At 47.4% G+C, this 14932-nt stretch overlaps 1 protein-coding gene across 12 annotated transcripts in view, besides 2 other annotated features; it reads right to left on the bottom strand.

Moving 5' to 3' along the window:
- Positions 1-14932, bottom strand: part of MSI2 (musashi RNA binding protein 2) — a 445731-nt gene that overhangs the window by 193615 nt on the left and 237184 nt on the right. The gene's annotated exons all lie outside the window — the stretch shown is intronic.
- Positions 738-1265: an enhancer, noted in NCBI's record as "H3K27ac-H3K4me1 hESC enhancer chr17:55584063-55584590 (GRCh37/hg19 assembly coordinates)". NCBI's record gives its function as "activates a minimal SCP1, AML or CMV promoter by ChIP-STARR-seq in primed H9 embryonic stem cells {active_cell/tissue: H9 hESC(primed)}" and the evidence as "EXISTENCE:reporter gene assay evidence [ECO:0000049][PMID:30033119]".
- Positions 11432-11933: an enhancer, noted in NCBI's record as "H3K4me1 hESC enhancer chr17:55573395-55573896 (GRCh37/hg19 assembly coordinates)". NCBI's record gives its function as "activates a minimal SCP1, AML or CMV promoter by ChIP-STARR-seq in naive H9 embryonic stem cells {active_cell/tissue: H9 hESC(naive)}" and the evidence as "EXISTENCE:reporter gene assay evidence [ECO:0000049][PMID:30033119]".

The raw sequence follows: 14932 nt of genomic DNA, 5'->3' as shown, positions 1-14932 counted from the left end.
GATTAAAAAGAAAATGCAGCAAGCCAGGCATGGCGGCTCACACCTATCATCTCAGGACTTTGGGAGGCTGAGGTGGGAGGATCGCTTGAGGCCAGGAGATCGACACCAGTCTGGGCAATACAACAAGACCCGTCCTACAAATTTAAAAGCAGAAAAAAATACACCCTCTGTCTTGTTGTTTGATAGACAAATACACCGGAGTGGACGTCATATGGTCATCATCCCCTTCAAAGAAGTCACCATGGAAGGCCCTGTCTTTATTCACTAAGACTTGAAATATTTTCTTGAAACTTTGGTGAGGCGGGGGTCAGGGGGGTGGGGAATTCCCTTCTAGTCAGTTCCCAACTCATGCAAAACAACTAGTCATTATTTTATAGTCCTATTGCATTTTGGTCCAAAAACAGCATAATCAATCTTGGCCACAAGTCATTTGGAACCAAGACTGGCAATGGTTTCCAAAAATCACATCCACTTTCAAAGGCCAAAGATTTATCACCAGTGAGGATATTCAGAAGAAAATGCTAGAGTCTGAATATGAGTTCACAGTGAACACTTTGAAACTGCGCAGAGCAAAGGCAGGATCTTTGGAAGAAGTACACAGACTCCCACTTTGAAGAAGACACACTGCATCTGTAGGAAAAAGCCCAGTTCTCAATGCTTCTTAGTCATTGTCGGGGGTGGGGGAGACACACACACACACACACACACACACACACACACACACACACACACACACACACAGAGAGACAAAGACAAAAACCAATGGGAAGAGATTTACACCCCCCCCCCCCAACACACACAGAGAAACAGATAGATTGAGAAAGACAAATTCTTCATTTAACAAATCTTGGAGGTAAAATAAAAGGGAGGGAAATAAGAAAGGGTTTTTTATAGCTTCATACCAAATACATTATGGATTCAACACTAGGAAAACATTCACCATGTCAATGTACAACAAAATTAGCATCTTTAAGATGTGTTTAACCAAGCAGCAGGGAGGTTTGTGAGTCTGGGCTGGGCCTGCACTGGCTTGAAAATCACCCTACAGATCCTCCCTGACCCCAACATACACACCATTTCCAGGCATTTCCTAGCTGTCAGAAATCTGTCTTCATGAGATTTAAGTCCTTCCCCTCCCAAGACGCCCTGTCTAACCCTGGCTGTCCCCACAGTCTGTACATGGAGGAAGACACAGGAAGGTTTGCCCTTCAACAGGCACAAAAAGCAAGCTCCAGATTTGCTCAACTCGAATCAAAAGGGCTAAACACATCCAGATGTTTGAACGGTTCTGGAAGACGAGGCAGAGCCCCCTCCACTCCCATGGCCTCCCCCGACAGCAGCCTTCTCCCTACTCCCTCGGAAGGCCAGGGGAAGACCTGCCAAGACAAAATGGCTGTTCTCGGGGACGGTGAGATGACTGCGAACGTTCCCAGGGAACATGGCATCAGGAGCACACCAGAAAGAGCAGACCCACAGCCAGAGAAAGAAGCGATGTTTATCCACTTGTGAGACATCTGGAAAATGAAAGAGGCTACAAGCCATCTTTATCACATCTCTGTGCATACAAATACACCACGGAAAATTACAGATCCCTCTCATCTACCAAATGAGCCATAATAACCCCGCAGGTTTTCCCCGAGTCCTTTAGACACTCCGCCTTACACTGTTTATCACGAGGGAGACAAGTGGAGAACCTTGGAAATGTAAAGGAAGATGAGCCCACGCCTTTCAAAGAGAAAGAGCCGGAGCAGGGAAACCCTGATCGTGGCTAATTGGCCCATCAGGGTCCTGCCCTGGACAGACCTAGGTGAGGGCGTCTTTAAAGAAAACGTCCCACCTCCGCTTGCCACAGAGATTTCTAAGGTTTGCCCACTGTCCTTTTGTAAGTGCCTGCTGGGTAAGTGTGGAGATAAGATGAGTATTACATTATGATGCTTCCTCATGCATGAAACTCTGTTTTAAAGAGAGTCTGGAGGGGGCCATCAGGAAGGGAGAGCCTGAGCAGTGGAGGTAGAAGGAAGGCTGCTTTATTTAGAGAAGTCTCAGCTACAGAATAAAACTGCTTTACCTGCAAAGGAAAACTCATTAAAGTTTCTCTTTGGTTCCAGAGAAAGAAATCTACAGCCACAGAATTTCAGAGAAACTGCTTTTATTTCCCATATGCTTTTCACCTTGTCCCCCGACTCCACCCTGACTTACATACTAACTTGAATATATACACAACCCCCCGCCGCACCCCCAAACCAAGATGGCACTCGGCCATACCAAATAACCACTGGCATAGCTTTAACCTGAAATTTCATTCTCTCTTGGTTTTTACTCCCCTGGCAAAAGAGTGAATAGCCTACCAAGTTGTACACATTTCTGCTTAAGCAACTCTGGTGAGGCATTCTTTCTAAAAGCAAGGAATACCTGCATATGTTAGGGGATGAGCTTTTTCCTTGTTAATTTGTTCAGTAAGTCTGGAAGACCCCACCCCTTTTTATTAAATAGGAAAACACGTCAAGGAAAATGTAAGAATATACCTAAACTCCCAACCTTCCCTTATGTCCATGCTTTCTCTGGGGTTTTCTAGGCCCCAGGTGCTCTACCCCCTCTCTGTAACTCTCCCAGGCTCCCTTTTCTTCTCTCACCCCATAAAACTCCAGGGCGTCATCCATCCTACCTGATCCATGGCCCCCACCCTCGCCATCTGAGCTCTCTCCCCTATGCAAGAAGGTGGCAAGAAGAGCCATTGCCTCTCTGTGCTCTGTTGCCAGGCCTGTCCCCAGAGCAGCAGGCTCACTTCTTTGCTGTTGGTTTCCCGTGACATGGATATTCTGGGACCTCCAACCCCAGCACATCTTAACAATGACAAACACACCTTCCCCCAGACTCCATTTCAACTAGTGACCCCAACCTCCTGCAGTTGAAAGCTTTACACTCTTGCCCGGTCCTCTGTCTTCCAAGCTACCCCATCCCATTCTATTATTTCTTCCTTTGATGGGACCCCCCATTCTCCCCTTTCCTTACTTTTTCTTCTTTTTTTTTTTTTTTAAATGGAGTTTCGCTTTTGTTGCCCAGGCTGGAGTGCAATGGTGTGATCTCGGCTCACCACAACCTCCGCCTCCCAGATTCAAGCAACTCTCCTGCCTCAGCTTCCTGAGTAGCTGGGATTCCAGGCGCCTGCCACCTGCCCGGCTAATTTTTCGTATTTTTAGTAGATTCGGGGTTTCACCGTGTTGGTCAGGCTGGTCTCGAACTCCCGACCTCAGCTGATCCACCCGCCTCGGCCTCCCAAAGTGCAGGGATCACAGGCGTGAGCCACTGCGCCCAGCCACTTTTTCTACAACTCTCTTTGCTTCAGAACCTTGTCACTGTAAGTTGTGACCTAACACAAGATGGCCACCTTCCTGGCATCACTGACTGTGACCCGGTTACTTTTCCTGAAGGATCACTGAAAACCTTCCATGTCTCCGACTGCCCACAGGGAAATATCCAAGCACTCATGGCCCGAGGCAAGCTACCCTGCCTTCCAGCATCACATCTAGGTCCCCTCGGACGCACACCCCCAGTCAAGTCCACTGGTCTGTCATTCCACTGAATTCTCTCCAGCCCTTTACTTAGGAGGAACATGACTTTGTCTGTGTTCCACAGAAGGGAAAACTGAAGGAAAGGCATGAGGAGAATCCCGGGGGGCTGCCTTGTGAGGTCATAACGGGAGGGCACACAGCCTCAAGAGCTAGCAACAAGGAGGCTGGATGGGAGACCACGGGAAGGGAGGGTGCCCTGCAGGAAGAGGCGGAACCGAGAGGGCAATGCCCTGGCATCGGCCACCTTCACAGCATCATGAAGGAGGAGGATCCGTGGAGGAGAAACCAAAGTCTGGGGAATTTGAGAGGTCAGAGCCATGGTCAGGGGAAGAGAAAGTTTCTGTCAAAAACCTCTCTCCCGGCCGGGCGCGGTGGCTCATGGCCTGTAATCCCAGCACTCTGGGAGGCTGAGGCGGGCAGATCATGAGGTCAGGAGTTCGAGACCAGCGTGACCAACATGCATCTCTACTTAAAATACAAAAATTAGCTGGGCATCGTGGTGCACGCCTGTAGTCCCAGCTACTCGAGACGCTGAGGCAGGAGAATCGCTTGAACCTGGGAGGCGGAGGTTGTCGTGAGCCGCGATTGCGCGACTGCACTCCAGCCTGGACAACAGCAAGACTCTGTCTCAAAAACAAACAAACAAACAAACAAAAACAACTCTCTCCCTAAACCATAAGCACCTGTGAACAGGAACCACATCTTATGCCTTCTCTGCCCCTCACCCCAGACCCAGGACTCAATGACTACTTGCTGACTGACTGACGGATGAACGTCAGCTCTGGGGACTGAGCAATTGCTCTGGAACTTTAAAGACCTGGAGTCTTTTGCTGATGTGTGAAGTGACCTTGGGCTAGTTGACAAATGTGCTGTTTCTAATCTGTTATAAAGGAGGGCCTGCAAAACCTCTTATTTTTTAATACATGTGTCATATATACATGGCAGAAACTGCCTATGAGCAAAGAGAAGAAAATACAAATCACCCACTGTTAACACTTCAGTGTTTATTTTCAGACCTTTTCCTAGCAAAACGTATATGTGTGTGTAATGACATTTTTAATAAAAAAATAAATCACATGCAGAAGATATAGTAAAGAACACTTATTAAAGTAATTTGCCAACTCCTTGTGCCCTGATTTATTGAGACTTCATCCTTAAATATGTATCACTATTGGGTAGCTGAATATAACAAAACTCCCCATCAGCTCTCTTTCATTCCTTGGACTCGTATCAGTCTCTAAGCCACCCCTGAACTGTGATTTATATGACAGCTTGGGAAAAGCCAACTGGGGACAATCAATGGAACAGACGGAGATAGGCCTGGTGAATGTGCATGAATTAAAAGGAAAACTCCATTGTAATAGGAACAAGATTCTAATCACCACACCTAATTACAAAGAGGAGTAAATCACTGAAAAAAAAAATTAAGTGTCTCATACAGAACAAACAAAGCAATTAGTCATAAACAGAAGCTCAGGGCTTGGTGAGCAAGCCAGGGCCCAGGCCCAATCCACCAGCTGTGCATCTGCTCCCAAGACCACTTGGGGGCCATGGAGGGTGGGCTGTAAGGTCAGAGCAGAGCCTGGGTATGTAATGGTGCTGGGGAAGGGTAGGTGGTCGGTTCCCAACACATGCGCCTCTGTGCACAAACACGCAAACAGCCTCATCAGGACCTCTGATCACAGTAGTGACCCAGCATTAGATGCTAGAAGGCTTAAATCTAGAGCCCAGACCTTCCTGCATGACAGAATGATGACTATATATATATATATATATATATATATATATATATCTCAGAGTCATCTTCTCCATTCCCTGTCCATATCCCTCAAACAACAACAATAATAATAGCAGCTAATTCTTATTACACAATTACTGTAGATCTGACACTATGCCGGCCATTTCACAAAGTTATCTAGTTCAATTCACACATTACACCTTCAAAGGATGCACTATTATCATCGTCTCCATGTTATCAATGAGGAAACTGAAATCCAGAGGGCTGAGAAATTTGGCTAAGTTCATCCTGCTTATGAGGAGAAGAACCTGGATTTAAACCCAACAGTGGACCCCAGAGCCCATGCTCTTAAACTCTGTACCACGTCACCTGTAAGATGAGAAAAGTTAAACTCATCTTTTAATGTGGTAAAGAACCAGGTGCCAAGTGTGAAATGCCAGGTGCACGTGGCCTATTCCATAAATGTTAACGTGATTCTTAGCCCTTTTCCTATTGGTTGCCCCAACTCATTCTCTCTCCCCTGGGGTCTCCTTCCTAGAGGACCCTTGGAGAGCCCCACATCGCTGGTGGGCCCTTCTGAGCCTTGTACTCTGTACCTGCCTATAGCCCAGGAGTGGAGGATGAGGGGAATCTCTTGCTCTTGAAACCCAGGACCCTCCTAGAAACTGGCTATGCAACCTGGAGGTGAGCTCTGAGAGCTTGAACTTAGCAACTGTCTCTACTATAAGTTTCAAAAATTGAAATAGACCTGTAATAAATGGTTGTCCTGCAGAGCTACGCAGTGACTGAAGTTATCTTAAATACATCATCTGACACAGAAAATCTAAATCTTCCTGAAAAACCCAAGACATGTAATGACTGTGTCTATAAGAGCAGGCTGTGTTGAAGGGTCTATGAATAAAATCTCCAGGAGCAGGGGCTATTCTAGGTCCGTCTCGTTGCCAACGGCTGAACTTGGTTCACCCTGACAGTAGTGAGGGGAGATGAATCAGCACACATACTGTTCATTTGGTCACTTCAAAAAACTTCCCTGAGCACGCCAGAATCTCTTTTAGGCACTGAGAGAGACGACTTGGAAAAATCAAATCTAACAATATTCTGTGCGCAGAACCACAGGGATGGGGTGGGGGCAGCCTGGAGGCAGGACCACCCTTGAGGGATAAACTGCCTTCTTGAAAGCTAACAGGGCCTGGCCCAGGGCCGTGGGATGAAGAGTGAGACAGGTCCTTACTGATGAAGCCTCTTCCCCTCAATCTAAACTAGATGATAAAACAGGAGCTTCTGGCTGAGCGTGTGAGGCAGTAAACACACAAAAGCATTTGTTTTGACACGTCTGGCAGAGGGGCTCAACTCAACACAGCAAACACTCCTGCAGATGTCCGGAGTCAAGCCGTTCCTCCAGACTAAGGCCCTGCAGTGGTCAGCTTGGACCCTAGCAGGGCAGTTGAGGGCTCGGGCCCCAGGGCCACAGAGACTTGGCTTCACACCTTACACTCAGGAACCACACGGCGATCTTGGGTGAGCGACAGAACAAGTTACTCTCTGAACCCCAGTTAATAGAATGTTCTTTATGGGGAAATGAGGTGAAATGAGACGGTGTGACAGAGCATTTACACACATGGAAACACATAGGAAGTACAGGCTCTTGATGCTGCCATTATTATTAATCATATTGGTTCATTTTTTTTTTTTTCAAGACAGGGTCTCACTTTGTCACCCAGGCTGTACTGCAGTGGTACAATCATAACTCACTGCAGCCTTGACCTCCTGGACTCAAGTGATCCTCCCACCTCAGCCTCCCAAGTAGCTGGGACTACATGCACATGCCACCATGCCCCTGCTAATCCTTTTTTTTTTTTTTTTTTTGGTAGAGACAGGGTGGCCTCGAACTCCTGAGCTCAAGCAATTTGCCTGGCTCAGCCTCCCAAAACACTGAGATAACAGGTGTGAGCCACCACACCTGGCTAGTCTTCTAATTTAAAGGCCACAGCTGGACTTGTCCTTCATTGAGTGCCCTGACCTTCAGAAGAGACAGGACAGTGCTCTGGGTAAAGCCTGGTCAACACACACACCCTACAGACCCGGATGGCCCTTCCTCTCCTGACAGTGGTTGTAAAAAACTAGCTGCTCTACCAAGCGGGCAACTGTCCAACCTCCTCCTCCAGAGCTCGCTCCTCCTCTTGCTAGCCCACCCCACCTGGCTCTTCCCTCCCTGCACCCAAGAGTCTATATGAGAGAGAAAGAGAAAAAAAAAAAAAAGACGCAACTCATTTCATATGGTGGCGAAGAGAGATCTGAGGTATAGAGCCACCAAGTCCCACCTGCCCCCAAAGGTCACCTGGACAAGCTACTTGGTGCTGCCTTCTTTCCCCTTTTCTCACATCCCTCAGGATATGAGTTCTAATATCCACTTAAGATCTGAGTGACTGCAGGCAAACTACTTTACCTCTCTGGCTTTGAGTTTCCAGTTTGTAAAATGGTGATAATAAGACCTCCTACCCGTCCTGAGCGTGTCTGAGAGTGACCACATGTGGCAGACTGTATTCTCCTAAGATGGCCACAATATCTCCCCCGTGCCACATGCGATCTACGATAGGACCTCAATACGCCTCCAATCCCGAGGTGAGCTCTATGTCCCCTCCCCTTCATTCCAGTTGAGAGTTTGAGACTCACTTGTGTTGTTTGACCTTTGAGGTTAGGTTAAAAAAAAAAAAGTGAACACGCTTCTGCCTTGTCTGTGGAAACATTTGTGCTCCAGCCCTAAGCTTCTGTACAAGGAGTTTGACTGCCTGAGGCAGCCATGATATAAAGAAGCTCAAACCAGCTCATGCAGAGAGACCATGGGGAGAAGTCCTGAGATCCCTTGGACAGATGCTTCGTCAGCCCCTGTTGTGCCAGTGGCAGCCACTAGAACTACAACCTCATGTCTGACTGCAACCTCATGAGATGCTCCCAGCCTGAACCACTCAGTTGAGTCCCGCCCAAATTCCCGCTCCACAGAAACCACGAGAAATAATATAACGATTGCTGTTGTTTTAAGCCAACAAGTTTTTGGGTGATTTGTTATGCATCAATAGATAACCGGAACACCACATATATAAAAACATGCTGTAAACTGATGGGTAAATATTAAGAACTCCAAATGCTATAGAAACTTTTATGATTATTTCCTTTTCAAGTCTGCCCTTGATTTTGTCTTTAGAAAAACATGTGTGTTGTGGGTGGGGTGAGAAGAATGCATACAGAATTGCCCTTAGCTGCCCTTTTTTTTTTTTTTTTTTAAGACAGAATCTTACTCTGTTGCCCAGGCTGGAGTGCCGTGGCACAATCTCGGCTCACTGCAACCACCACCTCCAGGGTTCAAGCAATTCTCCTGCCTCAGCCTCCTGAGTTGCTGGGATTACAGGCATGCACCACCACACCTGGCTAATTTTTGTATTTTTAGTATAGAGGGGGTTGTGCCATGTTGGCCAGGCTAGTCTTGAACTCCTGACCTCAGGTGATCCATCCGCCTCAGCCTCCCAAAGTGCTGGGATTACAGGCATGAGCCACCGCGTCTGGCCTTGCCCTTAGCTTGAGGAAAAAAAGCCCAATTGTCACCAAATGGATGGTGTTAATATGCAAAATGACTTCTCAATTCACCTGGGGGCATATTTTAGAAATAAAAGTTCCACAATGAGAACACTTGGACACAGGAAGGGGGACATCACACACCGGGGCCTGTTGTGGGGTGGGGGGAGGGGGGAGGGACAGCATTAGGAGATATACCTAATGTAAATGACGAGTTAATGGGTGCAGCACACCAACATGGTGCACGTATACATATATAACAAATCTGCACATTGTGCACGTGTACCCTAGAACTTAAAGTATAATTTAAAAAAAGAAAAAAAAAGAAAGAAAGGTTCCATGAACTAATTAAAAAGTGAATTGCAACTAGGGGATTTCCCCCAACAAAGCCAACCTAATTCTACCCAACGATCCTCAAAACATGCTGTGTACTGCAGAGAAGCTGAGCTCCCCGCGCGGCACAGGAAGAAGCCACTTCAGCTGCCCATAGGGAAAGAAGAGATGTGTTCCAGGCATAAGAATGTGGACATGAGGCCTGGCCTTCCATCCCACATTTTGGTACTGGGGTCGGAGAGATGATCTCCACCAACCACAAAATGCATGTGCCTGGGGTAGCCAGGTACCTCACAGTTCAAAACAACAGCTTTCGTGTTCTCATCTCTGCAGTTCCTGGGAGCAAATTGAGATGGTAAGGCCGTCAGCGGCCTAGGTGCTCATCATCTTGACAGATACTTAGCTACTCATTTAAAAACAAGCAAGAGAACAAGCGTCAGCTGTATTTTTTAATTACTCCTGGATAGGACTGGGAACGCTTTGGCATAATTGGGGTATTGAGATTTTTTTCCCCTTTGAAGGCCTTGTTGCAGCAAGAAAAATACCATGTTTATTCTAATTAAAACCAACTCTTCTTTTAAATCATCGTAGCAATAGGAAGGCAAGTGGTGATAGATATTTACTTTTTAAGGGTAGCGGGGGTAACAGCTACTAGGACCAGATCTGCTGTGAATGTATGTCCTTCATGGAATTCTCTTACTTGCAGGATCAGTTCTCTCATTTATTAAATGGGAGATGTGAAGAAAATCCCACATGTTCCCTTTTTGGCTCTAATTTAATTTGAGGTCATGGCTCCCACTTTCTGTTACCCCAGCCCAGTAGGGTATAATGTACCAAGGACCAGCTCTCTTGGTATGAAGAATATCTGAGGACATGTGGTGTTCAAACTAATACCTAGGCATCTATGGGAACACCAGGGCTGACGCTGTCATCAGCTTGTCCGGACAGTGCAGCGGCCCCCAACTACCTGCGTGTGCATCAGTCACACCTGGTGACTTGTTACATGCACAGCCCAAGCTGCTTGCTCCTTCAGAAAGCATGTTTCAGTTGTCTTGGGGTGGCGCCCAGGAATCTTCATTTTGGATAAGGGGCCCAAAGACATCTCTGATGAGGTATTTAGAAGACCATACTTTAAAAAAAGTACAGGACTAGCTGAAAAACATGGCCTTCAGACATAGAGAGACGTAGCTGTCTTTTTGATTTTCCAGCCATGTAACCTTGACAAAGACCCGACATTCCTGAACCTCTCTGTTCCCAAACAAGCGCAGCTCCCCAGCACTGCTGGAGGGTGGGAGAAGACTACACCCAGCACCTTCCTGGTTCACTTCCTGCCACACACAGCTGCCTGCCAAAGTCCTGTTCCCTTTCCTCGCTTTATACGTGGGGTCACTCAGAGTAGCTTTTCAAAAAGCACCAGTGCAATGACCTCTCAGAAAACAAGTCTGGCAGAAAAAGTCACATTTAAAGGGGTCCAATAGGCTGGGTGCAGTGGCTCATGCCTGTAATCCCAGCACTTTGGGAGGCCAAGGCAGGTGGATCACCAGACGTCAGGGGTTCGAGACTAGCCTGGCCAACATGGTGAAACCCTGACTCTACTAAAAATACAAAAATTAGCTGGGCATGGTAGCAGGCACCTTTAATCCTAGCTACTTGGGAGGCGAGGCAGGAGAATCGCTTGAACTCGGGAGGCAGAGGTTGCAGTGAGCTGAGATTGCACCATCGCACTCCAGCCTGGGCAACGAGAGCGAAACTCCATCTCAAATAAAAAAATTAAAGGGTCCAATAGAAACACTTTGGCCATTTAAAATGGCCATACCTCTCTTGGTTAACAGTAAGGTGAGGAGGACAGCTGAATTTAGCCACCAACAAAACAAGTTGTAATTGTACACCTAGCAGGTGGATAATGAAAAATGATAATAAAAATAGTAAGAAGAGGATGATGGTCCCTATAAATCTAACAGCATTTCTAAAAGCCCTTGGGTGCCCTGCCCTGTTCAGGTGCTGAACTGTCTTGTTCCCACCCTTCACCCTCAGACTTGACTGGAGCCTGGGAGGAGAATGAATGCGCTGGAGCCAGGGATGGGGAAGGGCTGCCCGCAACACTCCCGCCTCCTGCGTGCTCTGTCCTCCCGGAGCACACGGGGATGTGGTTTACCTGAGTGCACCTATTTGCAGCCAGACACCTGGCTTTGACCAAATGTGACCAAATGGCTGACAGAGCACATTAGCTTGCCTCCTTCGCTTGTCAAAACAATTAGGCTCTGGAAGGTGGTGGCGGCCTCACCGGGCTGAGAAAATGCCATCAGTGTATGAGACCGTTCATCAGCCTCCTGGAAGGTTCGACAGGGCCAAGAGGGCAAAGGACCTAAGTGGGGAGAGGGGGATTGGGCTGGAGGTAGGACAGGGGAGTCATTAAAACATTAAGAAAACTGAAAGTACCACATAGCCACAGATGGCCAAAGGGATCCATTCCTGTGGCTCTGTAGGGCACACGGCTGGCGTGGCGCTAAGTGTAAGGGGTGGGAATCCTGGCATCCACCGGGTGATTGACAGGCTGGCCCTCCCGCACTTCTACTCTGCTCCAGTAACTACCCATATTATGCCGAAATGACACAAGCGACAATAATTAAGCCCCAGATCTCTGTGGATCATTCGCAGTGATAATTCCACCTTTGTAATTCAGCTTCAGATAAACCCCTTTTGTTCTGCCTTATAACACAGATTCTAGTATCATTCAAGTATATTAACTGTAGCCTATTACTGTCACAAAAAATGCTCCCTGAGCCATAGCAAAAGACTCCCTAGACAAAACTTTATGTCATGTTAATCCAAGCTTCAATAACTATGAGGATATATAACTGTATTCTAATTGTGCTCTGCGTTCCCACATACAAAAACAGAAGATATCAAAAATGACAGCAGCCGATCTCTTCAAATATAAAAGCATTAATTCCTCACTCAGGGCGCTGGGATGCTGGGGTGAAGAGATGTACGTTTATCTGAAGAGAGAAGAGAGATGGGACTTTTGAGGACAGAGAAGGTTTGGGGGCTAGGATGGGACCACCAGGAATCAATGCCACAAAGGTTGAAGGCTGTGGAAGAGGCTGGAAGGCAGACATGGAGAATTGGACATGGAGACTGATATCAAGAGAGCCAGGTCAGAGATGTTCAGGGGATATAGAGAAGCCAAGTAAAGCTTTCTTTTTTTTTTTTTTTTTTTTGAGACAGAGTCTCGCTCTGTCACCCAGGCTGGAGTGTGGTGGCGCAATCTTGGCTCACTGCAACCTCCGCCTCCTGGGTTCAAGTGATTCTCCTGCCTCAGCCTCCTGAGTAGCTGGGATTACAGGCGTGCACCACCATGCCCGGCTGATTTTTGTATTTTTAGTAGAGACGGGGTTTCACTATGTTGGTCAGGCTGGTCTGGAACTCCTGACTTCAGGTGATCCGCCTGCCTCGGCCTCCCAAAGTGCTGGGATTATGGGCGTGAGCCACCGTGCCCGGCCCATATGAAGCTTTCAAAGGCAGCTGTGAGGATCCCCAGGTTCTTGACCCGGTTTGGACATTAACTCAGTGGGTAACCTTGGCCAAGTCATTCCCACTTGCTGGGCCTCCCTTTCTTTCTGAAGAGAGAGCGTCAGTTCAGACATCTTGTAGGGCTCACTCCCTCACCTCCTCCAAGCCCTCTCCCTGCAGCCCAGCCTGGTCAGCTGATGTAAAATTGCAACCCACTCCAGGTACTTCCTAATCTCCTTTACCCTGTGTTCCACTGTTGTTTTTTTTAAGTGGCTCCTACCGTTTTCTAATTGTGCAATGTAATTTTCTTTTTTGGTATATTTTTGCTGTTTATCCTATACCTCCCTCCGCTTGAGTTGAGTTCTGTCATGACCGGGATTCGTTTCTGTTCTGTTCACTGATTTATCCCTGGTGTCCAGCATGGTACCTGACACACAGCATGTGTTCAGCGTTTGCTGAATGACCACGTGCCATGGCCATAGACCAGGTGTGTGGTCCGGGACAAGTTTCTTCAACTCACTGAGCCTCAGTTCCTCAACTGAGGAAAAAAGAGGCAGGTACCTACTTCATAGCATTGCTGAGAGGATTAAATTAAAGAGCAGATGCAAAAGCAACTGGAATGGTGCCCAGCACAACAGCGGTGCTCAAAGCAGGTTATTTTATGGAGGAAAACAACATTCTCTATAAGGCTAAAGATGCAATTTTCACTGCTAAGACCAAACGCAGGTCCTTATGTAGTTATTGGTCTTATTACCCCCACAATATACCCCTCTTCTAGAAACTCCACCTCCTCTACTTCTCCAGCCCCCAAACCCACTCCAGGTCCACAGTCTGTCTCCTGGCACCAAAAAAGAATCAAAACACTAGGCTCTTGCGGGACGCTTCTGCATCATGGAGGCTGTTGGGCATGGGAGTCCAGAAGCCCACAGTGAACTTGGGCAAATCCCAAACCTCCTGGCCTTAATGTTACCTTCTCTTTAAAAATCAGGATACTATATTTTAATGGGTCTCCCTTACTGCAGATGGTGGGAATGAAATGTAACAAAATGAATTCTCCAACAAGAAGAATTATGACTCTGTTGTTGAACCTCTCTGAGCCTTGTTTCCTTACCTGTGAAAAGGGGTATCATAATAACCCTCACTGCCTTATCGCACCCGGTAGTTGTGAATACAAAAGTGCCAGTGGAGCTTCTGCTATGTAGAGAGTGACCAGAGGCAGAACCCCGAGGGTACAAGAGCACTCTGTCCGTAGCAGGTAGACTTGTCTTGCAGTGCCAGCTCCCAGGCTCATGCAAACCACTTAACTTCTGCAGAGGGCCAGTTTTTTCATCTGTATAATGGTAATTAAAACTTTCCCTGCTCCGCCTACCTCACAGTGTTGGGTGATGGTGGGAGAGGTACTTCACAGCCTGTCAATCACTTTCATGCCCACATGAAAATGGCTCCAAGGGGAGGAAGAGCAAGGCTACCTCCTACTGTGGTTTGGGCAGCTGAAGAAGGTTTTAGTAATAATGACCACAGGCAGATGAGATGATGGGATCTCCAATACTCCTTCTCGTGACTAGGAGACAAGATCATCCCGCAGCTCAAGACTGTTTCCCGCCTCCCCTGCAATCTAGAATGCCTTCATCTAGTTGGAGGGACCCAGAGGGCAACTGAACAGAATATCCTTAAAACATTATGACCCACAGGCAATGCAACGGTGCCCATATGGGCTGGATCTCCACTGGGCAAGGACTACCCCATGGCAAGTGTTCATTGACTGGGACCAAAATGGCCAGCCTCTTTATTGATATTTTCACCACACTTAAAAACCAAAGAATAAAAGGAAGGGGAGGTGGCAAGTGAGGACAGCAATTTCATTCATCGCTTCCTCTTTTGCTGAAGATCAACTATGCAACCAGATTTTATCAGAGACAGATCAGAAATCCCCAGTGTAACAGCAATCGCTCCTTTTACCTTTCTTCGGACAATGCAAAGGACATAAAATGCCCCAAAGCTCCCATTCCCAAAACTGCTGAAAGGCAACCACAGGTAGAATATGAAGCAAAGATGATTGCTCCTCACGTCTCCAAGGTGCCCACCTGTCCTTTAGAGCCTGCTGGCCGGAGCTCAGAATTCTGGTGGCACAGTTGGGCAGTGTCTGGACAGCCACCTTGGATTTCCTCCTTTTACCTAGGAGCCTGAGGTTTCTCAGCACCCACAG

This window comes from Homo sapiens, chromosome 17 (assembly GCF_000001405.40).
Source record: "Homo sapiens chromosome 17, GRCh38.p14 Primary Assembly".
Taxonomy (NCBI): Eukaryota; Metazoa; Chordata; class Mammalia; order Primates; family Hominidae; genus Homo; species Homo sapiens.
The sequence above is the reverse complement of the archived record's forward strand: the minus strand, read 5'-3'. Positions and strand labels throughout refer to the sequence as shown.